Here is a 19,211-nt window from a genome sequence, read left to right as displayed (position 1 = left end):
GTGTGTGTGTGTGTATGTGAGTGTGTTTTGAGAGAGCATCTTGCTGTCTCTCAGGCTGGAGTATAGTGGTGAAATCATGGCTCACTGCAACCTCCAACTCCAGGGCTCATGTGATCCTCCTGTCTCAGCCTCCCAAAGTGTTGGGATTACACATATGAGCCACTGTGCTATGCCTAGGTTGTTTTAAATTTAAAAAATTTTCGTCTGGGCATGGTGGCTCACGCCTGTAATCCCAGCACTTTGGGAGGCCGAGGCAGGTGGATCAAAAGGTCAAGAGATTGAGACCATCCTGGCCAACATGGTGAAACCCCGTCTCTACTAAAAATACAAAAATTAGCTGGGTATGGTGGCGGGTGCCGATAGTCCCAGCTACTTGGAAGGCTGAGGCAGGAGAATCACTTGAAACCGGAGGTGGATTTTGCAGTGAGCAAAGATCACACCACTGCACTCCAACCTGGGAGACAGAGTGAGACTCTGTCTCAAAAACAAACAGACAAAAAAATTTCTGATTTCCAGGAGCCACACATTTGACAGTCCTATTATCATGACCTGAAAGTTCAAGTTCCTGAGAATTTTAGAATACTTTGAAGAGTTTACAAACTTAAGAAAACAATACACACTTTTACTCTGGTATTTTAATAAAATTTGATTGATATTTTTTGACACACGAAATAATGCATATGCATTAATAAAAGCTCTATGAGTCTTGGAAATAAATACTAAAATTGCTTTTAAAAAGAAGTCTTTCCTACTCTCAGGAATTCTATAATATAAAAATGAAAAATATCTCTGATTTCTAGATATAAATCCTTACTACCTTGTCTATGGCAACTGGGCAAACGGGTATTTTCAAAGCCGACTGGGCTTTAAATCCATGCAGTGCTTTGCTTTTGTTTGAATATATGTGTCATTATTTGCAGATTGGTGAGGCTGTGCATTTATGTGAACAGTTTTGAATTCCAGACCTGCTTCCCTCTGTCATGTTGTACAATGAAAAAGCTTTCTTTCACTGCTCAAAAAAAACATGAACTCTTGAGAAGCAAACTTACTTTTAACATTATCTAGACATGAATATAATAAAAATAATGCTCTTCATTTCAAAGAATTAAATAGCTATAATTTGGGATTACTTCCTCCTTTCTCCAAAACACCCTAACTTGTTATTTCCCATGAGACTAGGTAATTCAGTTTAAACTGTCTGTATATAGTTAGACTGAGAGTACTGAAAGGTAAAGACGACGTTTCTGCTGCCAACCATAGAAATATTCTTGTATTCAATGTACTGTCATACATGTTATAGAAGACAACCATATTAAAGTTCCTGGTGATCAAAAAACTTTCAAAGAGAAGTTACTCCAGTTAATAGGAATGAGAACAACAGCCAGTCAAGTTACTCAATATAGTGACAGGTGAGTGACAAATGAATGAATGTGAAACAAGAATTGTCTTTATAAGTAGCTTTTAGGAAATGAAGTACGTACAGAATTATTAAGAATGCTAATATACGAAGGAGAAAGAAAAACAAGGCCAGAGGACATGTAAACAGCAGCAATAGAAAACTGAAAAGAAAAGCAAATCCCATTTAAAAGTGGCTGAAAAATACACCAGATTGGAAAATTGGAAAATAAAAGAAAATTGGGTAAAAGTTTTCACTCTGTATAAAATGATAAAGGAACAATAGATTTTCATGTCTTCTCCTCACTTGCCATGACCCTGGTCATGGCTTCCACGATCTCTTGTGTAGATTAATGCGGTACCGTTCCTTCCTCTTGGTGCTCCTCACTGTCAATGTGAAACCATTCTTCCAAAACTGCTCAGCTCAAACAGGTGCACGCAGTCATATCACTCTCCCATGAAACAAAGTTGAATGGGTCCCCATTGTTCTACAGCAGTATTTCTCCACACATGGTTTCTGTCTTATCATCATTGAATCATCTGGAGTGCTTGTTAGAAATGCAGATTTGGTGGGGTGGGGGGGGGGGTCTTCTGCACACCCATTGATTCTATAATTCTGGAAGTACAGCCCAGAAATCTGCATTCTACTAAAATGTCCAGGTGATTCTTAAAGTTTGAGAGGTACTCCACAAAAATATCAAAACCTCTTTTAATGGAATATTTTATGCTATAATCCCTTGTTATTTCTCCTGCCTCATCCCTTAACAAGTGCCCTCTGTTGTTTATGTGCCTGTCAGAAATACTGGATTACTTTAAGCTCCTCAGACACAGTAAGCTCTGCCACACCTCACTGCCTTTGCACATCCTGTTCCTCTTCCTAGAATTTCCAGCTCCTCTGCTTGGAAACCTGCACATCTTTCAAGCATGAGCTGTAAGGTCACCTCTCCAGCAAAGTGGTCCTGACCTTTTCCTGCAGACATAAATGGTTTTTCTCCTGGCTCCCCAATGAATTTTATTCATATGCATGCCTCTTTTTTACCAGTCATTCCACTGCAGCACAATTATGTGTTTACAGGTCTAATGCCCTACTATGCTTAAAGCTCTCCAAGTACAAGGACCGTTTCTATTCATCTGTGTATGTCTCAAAGTACACACCAGACACTCAGCGGAATGAATGGTTGCACACACATTTTTCTAAGGTTAACTAAAAACAAAAACAGTTATTTTTCTATTTTTCCAACTTCTACAGATAAGCCCTGAGGGATGCTTCCAAAATCAGGTTGCCTTTGTCAATTGGCTGGATGATTTTTCTTTTAAAGCACTGTCATTATTGACAATCTTCGTAATGAGTAATAAAATGATCAATAAAAAGTCCATGATATTCAGGCATATTTAAAAGGTTTATTAATAAATGAACCAAACGCCACTATTGGGTTTTTACTTTCCTTCCCAATAAGTATGGCTGAAGTAAAGTGTAGTTTGTCTTCTCTAAAAAGATGAATAAAAACATGAACTTGAGCAGGGTGACCTTTTTCCAAGGTAGTAACTCAATCCTGCTGGAAACATGATCAACACACACAGCCATAGCAGAGAAAAGATGAGAATCAAGAGTGCTACATCAACAGTGCTCAAGGTTTGCAATCTGCTGGCCACCACCTCACAGTCTGGGGCTCCTGGCTCACAAATGTCAGCTTACCCAGTGAAACCTTCCGTCGCACTTAGGAGGAGTTACAAAGTTGAACAGACTTCAGATCAGCTCATCTGAGTAATGTTTCACAATCAGTTCCCTCTGTTCATCTCCTCTCCTAGCACATTTCTTCCTCTTTCACAACTGCCCGTTCCTACATCTTGTTCTTGCCTGTATTGCACAGACAATCAATCTCACCTAAGGCTTTAGATGAGATTGATAAGTAAGAATTAACGTTTAGTTGATAACTTAGAAGATGTGACCATCTAGCTGGCTTTACAGTTTAAAGGGGACTGAAACTTTAAGATGAAAGTGCAAGGTATAGGTGATGGGGAAAGTCTGCCCATGACTTCGGAAGTCTGAGTTTAGTAGATGATGCTACCCATCAGAATTTAGAGACAGGCTTCCCAAGGAGTGGTAGCTATCACTCCATCTCCCTAATTCTTTTCATTAGAGAAAACCGGAAGTGAAGATGCGAAACACTGAAAAGGACATCAGTTCTTGATATAGACACTATCTCTTTTATTTTCCTCATAGTTATCAAGAGTAGATGACTTATTTACTAATTATGCAGACACCAAAAATGATCATTATGAAGATTATATAGCAGCATGGTAATGCATTACATGAAAAAACAACAGAAAAAAGTGCACCTGTATTACGATTGCAATCATAAAATCACGCATGCATACAGAAAAAGATTTGCAGGCATCATGGAAAACTGAAAACAGTTCATCCTACATGAGTTATTTATTTCTGCTATCATTGTTTTAATATATATTAAATCACATTATATAACTTGAGAGTGATTTACAAGTCTTTAGTAACTTGCTCCATGACTGTATCTGTCTGCCTTGCTGCCAACTCATCTTCCCTGAAGGAACTGCAGCTACCTTCAAATAACACTGCTTGATGCAAAACACACAGAAAAAAGCAGGAAGGCCCAGGCTGTCTCTGGTGAGGGCTCATGGAGGCACATCCTTCAATCGTTCAAAAATCCTAAACCATAAACTGCCTGGGGCTAAAAGATAAACATAACCACATTTAACATCTAGAGTGGCATCAGATACTGCCAGAGTCCTTTCTCTCCCCTTTCAAAATAATCATTTTTCTATTTATCCTTTGTATCTAGTGCTATAGCTTCAGAAACATTACTGCAAAAATCATGGCTCGGAAAGATCCATCCAGTGATTTTGTCCCAGAAACAGGATTGGATATACTTCAGTGAGCTGCCAGGTATCTGTAAAGCACCTAAAACTTGAGGTATTGTCTGTTACTTTCAGCTTTACTGGGGAGTGAAGTTCTTTCAGCTTTATTGTGGAGTGAAGCCTGCTGCACATAATGGAGAACACTGGCCCAGTCACTCAAATCACAAAGGCTATTTCGTATGTGCTTCAAAGATATAAGACAGGTAATATTCTGGGTGAGTCTAACACTCATCTATCAACATGGGACCCAGGGGTTATGCCCATCATATAACATGTAAGTATCCAAACAAGGGCAATTTTCGAGGAGAAAGGAAAAAGAACTCTTGGTTCTTTTTTGGCATTTCGTAAATATGAGCCATACCAAAACTACTGAATTTTTTTCAACTTGCTACTCTCCAAGGGAAGCAAATGAAAGAACAAGTGGGAAACAGTGAACAAATGAATAGACCAGAATATGCAAACCAGCCAGCCAGTTTTTCTAATGGCAAAGTATCAGCAGACTGTTTCATGCCTGTAGTCTCTGTAACATCCCTTCTCTCAAACCACTGATACTTCAGAGCAGTTTAGGACAGAATTTCTTCTTTGAGTGTGGTAGCAATTTAAGGTCCTAAATTTCAGAGTCATTATTTTTGAGAAGCTTTCACTCAAATAATTCTGAACCTATTTTTTTAATCCAAAGAATCAGCCTTTCATAGGGAATAACTAAATTCATAACTATTTCTCTAAGAAATAGTCCAATAAATAAAACTATATCTGTTTCCCCAAAGAAATCACATGTACTCTATCTGTCAGATTCCAGGAAACTCTAGAACATATTTACACCTATAAGCTTACAAGTCAAGTAACTTAAGAAAAAGTCTCATAGAGAAACATGACCAGGTAAGTTTATCAACAACTGAGACAAGTAATACAGAATGCTCATATGACTCTTTAAATTTGAATATAAACTAACTTAATACATAGCTTTTTTGTGATGGGGAGACAAGGCTTCTGTCTCCCAGGCTGGAGTGCAGTGGCATGATCGTAGCTCACTACAGCCTCGATCTCCCTGGATCAAGTGATCTTCCCACCTCACCCTCTTTGGTAGCTGGCACCACAGGCATATGCCACCACATCTGATTAATTTTAAAAAATTCTATGTAGAGACGAGGTCTCCCTATGTTTTCCCAGGGTGGTCTTGACCTCCTGGGCTCAAGTAATCCTTCTGCCTCAGCCTCCCAAAGTGTTAGGATTATGGGTGTGAGCCACCACACCCAACCTAGACTATATTTCTGAGGTTTATTATAGTTTCTAGTTCTGTGATCTTGGATAAGTTACTTAACCTCTAAGTACCTTAGTTTCCTATTCTGTAAAATGGGAATAGTAGTACTTACCTCATAGGACTGTTGCTAGGATAGTTAGTATTTTTTAAGTATTTAAAATTTCCAAACAAAATCAATAGTTTCTAAGGCCATATACATTTTTAAAGAGGTCTTTAAAAGAAAACAAGCATGAATAATAGAAATCCATCGATAATTCATAAATTTTATTTTATAAAATTAACTTCTTACCACACTGACTCTTCCATAGATCTGTCAACAGCTGGCAAATTCTAAGTCTCAATCCTCTGTGTCTCCCTGTGAAACCTGTGAGGGCTTGCCGGAGAGCACAGAAATGCCCTAAGGTGGAGATCAAGAATAAAGCTACAAAAGCACATTTCTCAGCTCATTTATTTATGTGTCTGGTCTCTGAATATTCTGCCATTGATTACAAATTTTAAAATTTAAAGAATGAGATGAAATAAAAATCCTTTAAAACAGAGATTTAAGATAGTTTTAAAGTTCCTTTATATTTTTACTAAATAAAACTACCATATTTTATATATTCTAGAAAAATGTTTTATTCTTCTTGGATTGAAAAAAAATTTTGCTTAGTGTGACTGTGTTGTTTATTGAAAATTCTTGGAAACTCCCTGAAGTTTGTCCAAAACTATATTTCTTTCTGTAAGGGAGCTGGTTTCAAAATGTCAGTGGGGAAAAAATTATGCTTCACCATATTCACAGGGCTCTGCTTGTTTGTGGATAGGGGTTTTGATCAAAGCCACAGACCTGCATTCCTGCTGTGCCTCCATTCCTGAATACCACAGACTCTGCCCAGTTTGCTTGAATGAATTCTGAGCTGCCACATGCCTCAGTGAGACAGTGAAAACTTCAACTCATCAATGACTGGGTCAAACCACTCTGAAGACAAGCAGCTCTCCCACGTGCTCAACACTAGGACTATTTCTGAAGCCTTGATGAGAATAACTGACTTCCTGAAGGGAAAGTAAGGAGCCTAAACCTGATTATGAGCAAGGAGGTATAAGGAGGGGCAGGTGCGGTTTGAAAAATGCTTCTGTGAATCCTAGAGAAGAGGCAGGATCCAAGGCCATTTAACAACGTGAAGGTCCTAGAAACTTACCTTTGGAAGCCCCATCTGACATACTACCAAACAAATTAAAACACACCAACATCCCACATTACCTTTTTTTCCTCTAAAATATAAGTATTTTATATTTTCACTTCAAATCTCAGTAATCCTCACACACACTGGGGAATTCTCATGAAGTACAAAGATCTAAAATAGAAATTATTTTCAAATACGTTTTTGTGAGCATTAAATTTAACAATTAATGAAGTTGGTATATTATGTTTACAAATATGTCTTATTTCCCTGAATAAAGCTGTAAGCCACAATCTGATTCTAGAAACGTTAAAATGTGAACCATGTATGTGTTCCTGGGTAAATTATGGTATAAATTTTGATTCTACAGTTTTCCTGTTGTAGTTTTCAACCAAAATATCTCTCATCTTTGTAGACTCAAACTTGTCAAAATTCTGTGAATGTCTCTTCGTGCTTGAGAAACTGGGCATAAGTGGAAAGGCAGTATTGTACAGTGCTTGAGAACATAAATCCTGGAGCCACTGCCCATGTTTTTAACCACAATATCAGTAGTTTCTAGTTCTGTGATCTTGGATAAGTTACTTAACCTCTAAGTACCTTAGTTTCCTATTCTGTAAAATGGGGATAATAGTACTTACCTCATAGGACTGTTGCTAGGATAGTTAGTATTTTTAAAGTATTTAAAACAGTGTCTAATATTCCAGAAATGTTAGTCATGTTACTGTTATTTTATACTAACAGATAAAATAGTTCTGGAAGAATCACTCACTTCCCCCAACAAAGCTGCTTGCCCATTGGAAGCTGTCTTGAAGGAACTGGTTGAACCCCAAATTTCAGGCAGATACACCCATATATCAAGCCCTGGTCCAATATCCTTAATTCTACCTTTTCCTTCCCAAAGTTTTTTCTCTAAAAGAGGAAGAAGGGTAATCCCAATGCTAAGGATAACCCCCTTCAGATTAAAGGTCAGTGACAGAATCAGAGAGATGAAGCACGTTTTCTTTCCCCAGAATAAATACTAGAGTCTCTTCCCTCTAGTGGCTGAAGTATACAATTACAATGCCCCCAGCCAACTGTCATTCTTAAAATCTGTTGTAATGGAAATAATTCAGAGGATGGTAAACTTAAGTGAAAAGTCAGCTTTAGGCCAGTGGAGAGCTAGGCACAAAACAACAAAACATTGAGTTTTTTTTAAAATAAAGCAGTATTAAACATTTGCACAGCGTCATAATTATTAACCTCAGCATCACAAAAAGAGCAACTTTAATTAAACGCAACCACGTTGTAACTATTTCACACTTCCATGTCCTAACTATAGTCAGTGTAATCCTAACTACAGTCAGTGTAATCCACATAATAAATAGCTTTTTGTTTCCCTAAGTTTTTTAATGGATGGGGCTCATTAGTTTATATAATCATCCCTAAAACTAGGACAGCACTAGCACTGTCACTCTGCAGTAAAATATTAATCCTACCAAACCAAATATTTGACATGATCTGTACGGCTTGAAATATTTTCCTTAAACCATTAACTTCTCAGTGGTATAGGGAGACAAAATAAAGAGAAAGAAAAATACCACATTTTTTCAGTACAGTTTTGTTACATAAGGAACATTTTACAAAGGAAACTGGATTTTCTTTAGGAGTATTGAAATTAAACACCATACTTTAGGGACCATTTCTCAGTCTGTTACTAGAGAAGTTTCTCTGAACCTGCAGAGCACCTAAAAAAAAAAGTAGAAAAAAATTACAAAAAAAAGGGTATTATAATTATTTTTGAGCAGTTTATGTCCTAAGCCATTTCAGGCATCCAGGCCTCCAGCTCATCTGAAAACTTCTGATTTTCAAAACACATTGCACATGACTCATCAGCATACTCTATATGCTAGATACTGATGAAGGAGGGTTACACCAAATCAACTGTAAAAGTGTGACTCCTTTTTCGTCTGTAAAGTCACTTAAGAAAGCAAAAACATGTCACCTTCAAGACACAGAAGAGCTTCTGAAAACAAGGCTCTCGTTTCTTTCACATAAACTTTACACATACTTATATACATATTTGACTTAAAAAAAAACCTCAGCTAAAATATGCCCATTAGAAAAACATTTATTCTTTCAGGCTATTAAATATACAAGCATTGAGGAAGATTTGCTCTAGCACATGCAACACCATGAAGAATCTAGTAAGTTTATATAATCTTACACTTCTTTAAGATTTTGAGAGATAAGAGCATACACATGTACATGCATATTTGTTTGAAACAAAATATAGACACGTTTAGCTGGACGTGGTGGCTTATGCCTATAATCCTGGCTTCTCAGGTGGCTGAGGTGGGAGCATTGCTTGAGGCCAGGAGGTCAAGACCAGTCTGACCAACATAGCGAGACCCTATCTCTAAAAAATAAAAAATTAGCCAGGCATGGTGATGTGCACCTGTAGTCCCAGCTACTCAGGAAGTGGGAGGATCAACTGAACCCAGGAGCTTGAGGCTGCAGTGAGCTATGATCGTGTTACTGCCCTCCAGCCTGAGCAACAGAGTGAGACCCTGTCTCAAAATAAATAAATAAATAAATATATATATATATATATAAATTCATACATATATATTTTTAATATATATATGTCTATATGGAAAGACAGAGAGAAAGTACTGGAAAGGAAACAATATGAGCTTTGGATATGTTTTATTTAATGTGGTGGCAATTCATCCAAGGGGTGATGTTCTCCCAGCATTTGGACACACAGGGCTAAAAATAAACAGAGAAAAAGACAGAGTGATATGATGCACATTTACAGATTTTCTTTCTAAAATAAAGAGCAAGTATTTCTCTGTGTAACAACATATGGATCCATACTTTCTATAAAAGTCAAGTCCCGCTTGGGCTCAGTTTCCCTTTCCAGACTCTGCACTTAACACTTCTTCCTTGCCCTTCCCAGCTCTGTGCTCCCCAGGGACCTGCCCTGCACTCTGCTCCCACTGTGACCCTGCCCTCCCCAGCAAGGGATGCCTCGCTACCTCCTCCTCTCTTCCTCATAGACAACTTTTCAAACTTCTACATCCTGGTGAAATGGAATTAGACAGAATTAATCCTCTTTCCTCTGGTCTGTTATTATATTACAGCTGTTTTTGTCTGTTTTCCTTGAGGGAAGGTCATGGGTCACCCATCTTGGTATCCCAGCCTCTACCGTGGGATCATTATTGGCAATCAATATATGTTTACAGGATGAATGAGTAGTTCTACACACTGTGCTGTCTACATGTAGATGACTTGAGTCTTTTTTAGAAGTAGGTGAGATGCAAGGAGTCAATGAAGCTCAGGTTTCCCTTGTTGCTATACCACCTGCTGGAGTTTTCACTACTATGCTAAATACATTGCCATTTTATTTTTTCTAATTCAACGACATAGGAAGCAGCCCCACATATGAAAGTTATTTTTACCTTCTCTGCCTTTGTTTTGATTCCCTTTCCCACCCCATACACCCTTGTTCCACTTACCCCAAAACCTAATCTTTCCTCTAAGCCCAACCTCGTATCTTACCTACTTCAAAGTCTCTTTCAGCTATACAGACACACACAAGCAGGCTACAGGTTAAAGGAAAATAAATAGGTAGGTTATAAAATCATTCCAGGCCTACTGCTCAGATAAGGCAGGCACTAAAAATAAACCTGATTTGGTAACAAAGAAGGGAAAGGCATCAAAAAGGAAAGTTCTTCCGTACCTTTCAAAGATCCAGAACTCCAATTTGCCCAGCAGGAAAATCTAGGGCCCCTCAAGCTGCTGGCATGTTAAGGGCCTTTGTCTTTGATTGAACATTTCTTCCAGCACCTGCATTCTACCTTCTACTCACCTACCTCTCCTGAACCCTCCCCAAAATGGTCCTTTAATTCCATGGTCTGTGCACAGATGGGCAGAGACCTTTCAGCATCTGACATTTCATATCCTCCTAATGAAGGATCAGCATCACTCCACACAGAAGACCACTCTCCTGTGTGAAACTCCTCCTTCATTCCGCTTCTTTGAAATCACCTGGCTGGTCTTCCTCCTAATCTCTGGTCATGCCTCCTCCAGATCCTCAGCATGATATTTCAATCTGCAGTGTCTCAGGAATCTGTCCTGAAGCTACTTCTCACTAGTTGACTTCATCCAGTCCCCTGGCCCTGTACACCACCTACTTTCCTAAAAGTCCCAAATTTACTTCTCCAGACCTAACTTCTCCTTAGAATTCCAGATTCCACATGAGTATCATATAAAGATCTCAAATTCAACACAAACAAAACAAAACTTTTAATTTTCTTCCACGATCCTGCTCCCCGCCCTCTCAAGTCTTCCCCACCTGTGTAAACAGAACCGTGATCTTCTGTTCATCCAGTGGACAATCTAGGACCCATCCTTGTTTTTGCTGTTTCCCTCAATGCCCCCCGCCCCGCCCCCATCCTCCAACTCATCCCTTGGCAAGCCCTACACATTTCCCCCTCAGAACACAGCCTGAATCCATCTACTTCTCTCCAATTTCACTATTTACCCCTGTAGTCCAAGGCAACATTCTCTCTCATTCTAAGTTACTTTTTGAGCTCTATCCACCCTCTACACAGAAACCAGGGAAACTTTAAAGAGGCAAATCAGATTATGTTATTACCCTACTTTACAATATCAAGTGTTTTCCACGTATACCTATGTAACAAACCTGCACATTCTGCACTTATATCCCGGAACTTAAAACAAAAAAATAAAAATATCAAGTGCTTTCTTTCCATCCTGCTTAAAGGAAAGCCCAATCTCCTTACTCCAACTTATGAAGTCTTGTGGACCTGGCCCTGCCTCTCTGCCCACTCATCCACATGTGTGCCCTGTGCCCACACCACTCTTCTTTAGCTTGCTTCTGCCCTGGGTGGCCTCTTTACTTGGGAGGCTTTTGCTTTGGTTTTCTCATGGCTGTTGCCTTCTGGTCATTTAGTTCCAGCTCGCATGCCACTCCTTCAGGAAGAAAGAAGCCATGGACTCCCCTGTTTTACTTCTCTGCAGCTCACTTGTCACTCCTCCAGTGTTTTTCTGGTTTATGTTACATCCTCTTCTCCAAATCCCTGCACCCCACTGGGATATAAGCTCCATGAGAGCAGAGACTTTCTCTATCCTGTCTGTCACCGTATCCCTAAAGCCTAGAACACAGCCTGGCTGGTGGTAGCTTCTCAAAAACACTTGCTGAAATGAAGATTGTGTGAATGAATACAGTGCCTCCTCTGTGTTACCACTAAGCACTGTCAGCCAAAAGATTTTGAGAGGCATGGTCCAGGACTTCTTTCTCTGTCCTCCTCTGTTTGAATTGAACAATATTTCACTCTGTAAACCCCACTATCTGAAGTCATAGGTTACATCTTTGTATTCCTTCAGGAGCTCCACCTCTACTAAGGCTTTGTGTAAAGTCATAACACTGGCATAAAACCTCTGTTGACAAATCACAACATTACACAATGAAATAACCAAATCACAACATGACAAAAGCAAATACCTCTAATCCCTCCCCATTCCCCTCCCCCTCAGTTTTGTAGAAACTATTTACTAATCATTTCCCCTGTGCCTGGTACTTAATGATCCTCAAACATGGAAAGATTAATGTGAACTTCCCCAATATACAGATGAGGAAACTGGCACTTAGAGATACTACACAAATAGCCCCAAGTCCCTTAAAGCAAGTGTCATGCAAATGGTAGGTTAAAATATCTCAGAGGGAGATCCAGGCATACTAAAATAACCTTCTCTTCACCATTAAAGCAGAATCCCAAATTCTAGCTTCTATCAAAATCATGAAAATGATCAGCTCCAAAGTCACACATACAGATTCTGGAACAAAGCTAAGGGATGGCCGTCTGTCATCATGGAAAAGCAGCTCCTCAGAAATAAGTGACATTAACTATTGTCTCCAAAACTAAATCTATGCATTGGTTTGACCAGGGATCTCACCCACAAATGCTGCCTAGAGCAGAAACTGACTACTTCTGACATTTCATATCCTCCTAATGAAGAAGGTACATATAGGTATGATGAGCACAAGAAAAGCTCAGTGGCAGCAAAGGGTTGGAACTTGAAACCATGTATCTACCTCCACGAAATGAAGTCAGCTACATAGTCAAGGCAATATTCACCACTTAGCTTCCTAAATAAAAATCCTATATAAATGCTATGTGCTCAATAAAAGCTATAACTCTCCTGATGAATGGGGCAGCATTCCTTGATATCTATTTTAGTGTAATTCAGATTGATATGAAAACTAAATCCAGCTAGACAATGAACCCTGTATAGTTGTGTAAATTAATCACCAGTAAAAGGGCACCACGCTCCAACAGTGGTTGCAGGCTGGCAACCTCCTTCGAACAAATTGCAAATAGGCACTTTAATGAGGGAGAAAATATGAGGTAACATAACTGTAGTCAAATCAGTTCCTACAGGAGGGAAAGCACATTAACTGATGTGCTGATATCCGCCGCCAGAATATCAGCTAGGGAGAACAAAAGGCTGTCAAAGCAAGATGCTGTTACTAAGCCAAGGCAGCCCAGGGTATGGGCTTAAGCTGCAATATGACATTCTCAAGGGGAACATGAGTTTTGTTTCTAATGTCAGCTCTTTAAGTGCTTTTTATTGATGTCATTGTTTTAGGATGTGCTAGTTATCCCTGACTACCAACAGGAGATTCTAATAGATTGTCACGGTGGCTTCAGAAATACACACTTTAATAAATAAATATTCTTTTATGACATAATTTTCCTAGTTAGGCAGGTCATGGTGTCCAGACACATTCAGATCACTCGATATTACATCTCTAAGTGACCCTCCATGCCAAGTGAGACACTTTACCAAATTGTTATTAGAATCGACTTTAGTCTCCCTAAGTAAGGAAAAATGGAGAAGTTAAAAGAAAGCACACACTCTCAAACACAGGATGCTCATGTTTCAGAATGGGATAAGGCCGATGATGTAAAAGGAAAAAAGAACATGTCACCTACAGAAAGCTGAGATGTGCAAGGCCATTATACAGGAGCAGACTGGATCCTGGCCTTGCCACTTCCTAGTTTGTAAGACTCCGGACAAGTTAATCTCTCTCTGTAAATCCTGATTTCCTCATCTTTAAAATAAGAATAACATCATCAAACAACTCTACCTATTCTACCTATTCCCACAAAATTGAGGCCTCAAATCACTTTATGGCTGCCTCAAACACAATAAAAAATCATGGGATAAAGTTCAAATAAACAAAGAGTAAGAATGATCTCATTGGGTTTTTATGAGAATCAAGAGTTTGTGTGTGAGAAGTGTCCTCAAATTAGAGAGCACTTAACAATTACTGAGCCAACTGATCTTGGCAGAGACACTGAGTTTTTAATGCTCCTCCAGAAGCAATACTACTTTACAGCCCTCAGAATCAAAGTGGGTCAGAGCCTCTCTTGAAAAATGAAATCTCAAATTTAAATGGGGCAAAAATAAGCTTGGCCCTAGTCTGCATTCTCTGTCAAAAACCCAAATCTGTTTATAGGGCTATGAAATTCATGTTCTCCAAGAACAACAAACTAAGGATGTTTTTAGAAGCATCTGAAGCTTCTGGCCAATTTCTGACAAAATAAATTCAATGCAACTCTGCCAGTTTCTGAACTCAATTTCCATTGGCAAATCCCTGGCGCAGGTGCTGCCATCCCCACCCCCATCCTTCCATCACCGCAGTAAATACTGCTGATTGATTATACAGTTTTCAGCCACTAAGTCCCAGACGGAGCCTCAGAATCTTTCTCAACACAAAGTTCTGAGTGGATGTGGTCAGAAAGTATCTATTATTAGCCATTCCTAAAGTAGAGAAACGAACAATTGACTGCATAGTCCAATGTCTTTCCAAAACAAATTTCTATTTTGAGCGGATAATTTCCAATAAATAAGAACATTATTAAATAGCTGTATTCATCAAATCAATATATTCAGCTATTTCAGATAACATTTTGCAAAAAAAATCCCACTTGGAGGCTTAAAAATAAGTGGTGCCACTCAAAGTCACATGTTTTACCATATTATGAGGTAAATGGAAAAGGCACAGGGTTACAAACTTATGACTTTAAAATTTCTATGCCCAAACGATCTCTCCCATACTCCACTGTGCAGAGCTTTGGAGTCTCAGTCCAGCACTATTTTTTCTTTAGCATAGTCTTTATTCTTTCATGAGAAAAAAAAATGTCCTGATCAGCTAACATCCCTGCAGTTCACTTCCTCGGGTAAGAGGGGGTGACTTGTTACTGCCAGTCCTCAGGCTCTTTGCCAACGTCAGAAGCAGAAGGCTCTCTTCTTGACTGCCCCAGAATACCTACACTTTCTAGGCCCAGCCAGAGCATTTATTCTAAAACTGAAGATTCCTTGGAAATGATCGAAATTAGGTGGAGAAGAGTGATAACTGAAAGGCAAAGAGAGACACGCTACGTAAACATTATCTCTGAGTTCTGGCCCTAGATGAATTAGATCATTGCTGGAAAGCAATATTCTTGCAACAAACACAGAACTTACAACCTTCTTTGTTGAACCATACTAAAAAGGACTCGTTTAAAATATATTTTCACCCTTTCTGATGAATTGAGGTCATCAGCCATTTCACGAAAGATTTCTTGTAAAATTCCACGTGAGGACAAGGCATAGAGCTCCAAAACCACACATGGTTTCTTTAGTCAGTGGGATCAATCCTGTTTCCCTTTTAGCTTTGACTAGCAGAAACTTAGCTAAATTCAGACCTCAATTAGATTAGTTATCTTACTCAAGTGCCACATAAAAGTATCTTAGAGTTTGAGGTCTTGCTTATCCTTTTTAACTAATTTCATATATGTTTCTATTGTAAACTACCTTAAATCCTTTTCAAAGGAGGTGGGTATAAGTGATGAACACACAGCCAAGTGTGAGGCGTTGTCATGCATCTAGCATTGTGGCTGCAGCTGGCTCTACTCACCAGGCCATCCTTGACCCCTGGGGGACTTATCTCTGGCCAGATATGTACATCTCAGCCACCGCAAGAGACAGTAAATTTCATCTACTCCCCCAGCCCAGCTATTCAGAACTGATAAAACATTTCTTTATATCCAAAAAGAATTTTGCATCCAGCAAGTAGCTTGAAGTTAGGAAGGCATATATTCTTCCTCAGATAACTTCTACACACAAAAATCTTGCAATAATAGTGGTGCCTGAGGATTTTCCCTCGACAAATTAAAGATGACATCATTCAGAATTGTTCTGCAAAATTTGGTCAGATCCATAACAACTGTCTGTACTCGTATTAGGCAGACAGTTCTGAGTTAAATGTATTCTATACACATGTGAATTACACACTTAATGACTGTGAGCCACGGGGCTAGAAGAGCTCCAATAACCATTGTTTCTCACAAAGTTCAATGACATTTTCTAAAAATATATGTAGAGCACCTGCAAGGTGGACAAATTATTGCCTGAAATTTCTGGAGTGTGTCTGGAGTGTGAAAAGGACCTCAAAAGCAAGCTCATTTGGTCTCTTGACAGCCAGTTTGATGTATTAACGACATTCAATTCCAGTAGCCCAATCCTAGTAGTAGAAAGAAAAAACAAATGTGTCCCTGCCCCACAACCAAGGATCATTCTCTAGCTTCTGGGGCATCTCTAGCGGATCTAGAGGGTGAACCCAAATTGGACCTTAAGGCCATTCAGGTGTTTCTCCAAAGCAGAACACCAGGCTTACTCCCTAGTTAACTGAACTCAAGAAATCTCAGTTGCAGGTTGCAGCTGAACATGCTTCCCCAAACTAATGACTATTTTTTTTTCTTAGTCCAGACCTAAACCACAGGAACAAGGAGCAAGGTGGATTTTGCCGAGCATCTGCCCCCGCTACTCACAATTTTAAAGAGGACTCAGTGTCTCTGTTGACACCTCCTACACCTTCATCTACATTATATATGAAGTTCCGAACATTCTCCCTAGGGTGCATCTCCAACAGCAGGCTGGACCTTTCTACTTGGCTGCTGTGCCATCATTTTTAGGTTCGATATTACTAACCATAGCTAAAAGTGAAACTGTTATCTTCAAAATGGATTGTTATCCCTGCTTCTATCTGAGATATAGCAATTCTCCCAATCTGCGTAAAAAGCCTCCCATCCTTCAGCAGGTCCTGTCAACTCTTCTTTCACAATGCCTTCCATTCTTCCTTCCCCTTCTCAAGCCTGCCTTTCTTCAGCTCTTCATCATTCCTTTTCTGCACTTTCCTTCTACTCTATTCAGACCAAGTTTCTCCTATGCAGAAATCTTACTAAGCTACCATGTTATTCTATTTTGCTAGTTAAAAAACCTCCAGACATGTCCTACACCGAAAAAAGAAAGCTCAAGACTAGCAAGTGAAACACTATAGTCTATTTCCAATGTTCCTCTTCCACAAAAATCCCTTCTGTCCTCATGCTGACTTTATATTAGCTCTCAGGCAAGCTGGCTTACCTAGCATCCTTGAACATACATGTCTACATCATCCCTTTCACTCCTACCCTTCTGCTCATCCCCAGTGATCTTCTCTCCTCCTTTCCATGTACTTAGCCCCGAATCAAACTTCATAGTCCAGTTTAAATCCTGATCCTAAATTCTCATGGCCTCTGGTTGTACCACTCATGTAGCATTCATAGCTCTGTACATTTTTTCAGGTGTCTAACTTAACTAAATTGTTACTTAAAACTAAAAGAAGAACATCTTCTCTTCTTGGTATCCTTCCCACAGCATTAGTACAGCAACCTAACAAAAGTGGGTTATATTTGCTGATATGCCGTAGCTTACAAAATGTTTTAAGAAGACTTCCTAAAGACTGATTTTAAAACACAGAATAACTAGAATAGGAGCATTTTAGGTCTTTACTTCCTTTAGTAAACCCTACTCTCATTACTACAACTCACCCAACCTTGGATGTACTTAAAAAACTGTAAAATTCAGAAAGTGAAGGGGAGAATAGAGGAGTGCATTTTACTTTACTAGAAAGATTTCTGATTTTAGCTTTTAGTTCTGTGTTAAAGTGACCACAATGATTTCAAAGTATATCTTCTTTCATGTTCATTCACAGTCAAATTCATAAACTTGTGCATATAACAAAACAATGCCTCAAAATAAGCAATCAATATAAAAATTTATGTGTGTGATTTTACAGCAACAGTACCTTAGGCAGCTGATTTTACACTGAAAAAGAAAATCTACTTTGAAGCTTCAAAGAAGCAGAGAATAAAAATAAAAATGCCTTTGGAGACAGGATGATCACTGGGTTCTAGGTTCTGAGTTCGAATCCTGTGTAGTTGCCAGTATTTTCTAAGATGCCACTGGAATGCACAAACCTATACACAGAACTGACAAAACAATAAACTACATTTTATGCCAAAGCCTTTCGATTCTGTTTTCACAAAAAACTAACAGAATCAAATGACATTTCATTGATTTCTCTAACTGTAGTCATATATAATCTTTTTTCCTTTTGGAAAGAAACAACAGCTAATGTAAACCCAAGAGCAGAACTTGATGGGGACCATCAAGGTGAGGAACAGTGACTCATGCCCAAGAAGCTATTATGAGGGATTTATGGGTCTAAACACTGACAATAAACTGAATAAACAAGATCATGCATAGGGGCAGGAGGTTTGTTTTCTTTTCCCCCCAAATGTGTACAACTGCTGTTGTGATCAATAAAAAAATTAAATGCTCTGAGTTTGCAGTCATTTTCTGCTTTTTCTACTTTCTCAATCAAGAGATCATGTGGGGTGTTCTAAAAATGTCTGATAGCCGGGCGTGGTGGCTCACTCCTGTAATCCCAGCACTTTGGGAGACTGAGGCGGGTGGATCACCTGAGGTTGGGAGTTAAGAGACCTGCCTGACAAACATGGAGAAACACCGTCTCTACTAAAAACACAAAATTAGCCAGGCGTGGTGGCGCATGCCTGTAATCCCAGCTACTAGGGAGGCTGGGGCAGAAGAATCGCTTGAACCCAGGAGGCGGAAGTTACGGTGAGCCGAGATCGCACCATTGCACTCCAGTCTGGGCAAAAAGAACAAAACTCTGTCTCAAAAAGAAAGTCTGATAATAGAAAGGATCCCCATATTCATGAAGGTGAGACTTTCTATATCAGCCCTGATGCTGACCCTACACCCCAATGCCACAGAGATCTGTCGCTTGGTTTAAAGCTCTTGGCCTGCCACTCTCTACATGATGTCTATACAATTTAGTTCCTTTTATATTTCCAATCATCATCAATAGAAAACTATAGATGCAAAGAAGTTGAGAATAGGGGTCAGTGGCTACTAGAAGTGTTAAAAAGGGTACTTAGTTATCCATATTCTATTTAATCTCAAACTGAGCTAAATAGGAAGCCCACAGGATCAAGGCTCCCAGGTAGTTTACAAGTCTCATAAAGGTCATGGGTAAAGAATTATAACACATTATAATCATCACACCAAAATCTCCAGATCAACACTGTGGGGATGTTAATTGT

General features: G+C 39.2%; 1 protein-coding gene across 21 annotated transcripts in view; it reads right to left on the bottom strand.

The window, feature by feature from the left end:
• Positions 1–19,211, bottom strand: part of MAST4 (microtubule associated serine/threonine kinase family member 4) — a 573,201-nt gene that overhangs the window by 173,691 nt on the left and 380,299 nt on the right. For 2 of the 21 annotated variants that reach the window (NM_198828.3, NM_001290228.2), the window contains one exon: positions 9,380–9,459. The exons of the other annotated variants lie outside the window; for them this stretch is intronic. In NM_198828.3, coding sequence (NP_942123.1) covers positions 9,417–9,459 — 43 coding nt within the window. In that variant the 3' untranslated portion in view covers positions 9,380–9,416. Of the gene's footprint in view, positions 1–9,379; positions 9,460–19,211 lie in introns of those variants that run through there. 21 annotated transcript variants of the gene reach the window in all.

The sequence above is a fragment of the Homo sapiens genome, chromosome 5 (assembly GCF_000001405.40).
Source record: "Homo sapiens chromosome 5, GRCh38.p14 Primary Assembly".
NCBI lineage: Eukaryota > Metazoa > Chordata > Mammalia > Primates > Hominidae > Homo > Homo sapiens.
Note: the sequence above shows the minus strand (reverse complement) of the source record. Positions and strands in the feature narration are given on the sequence as shown.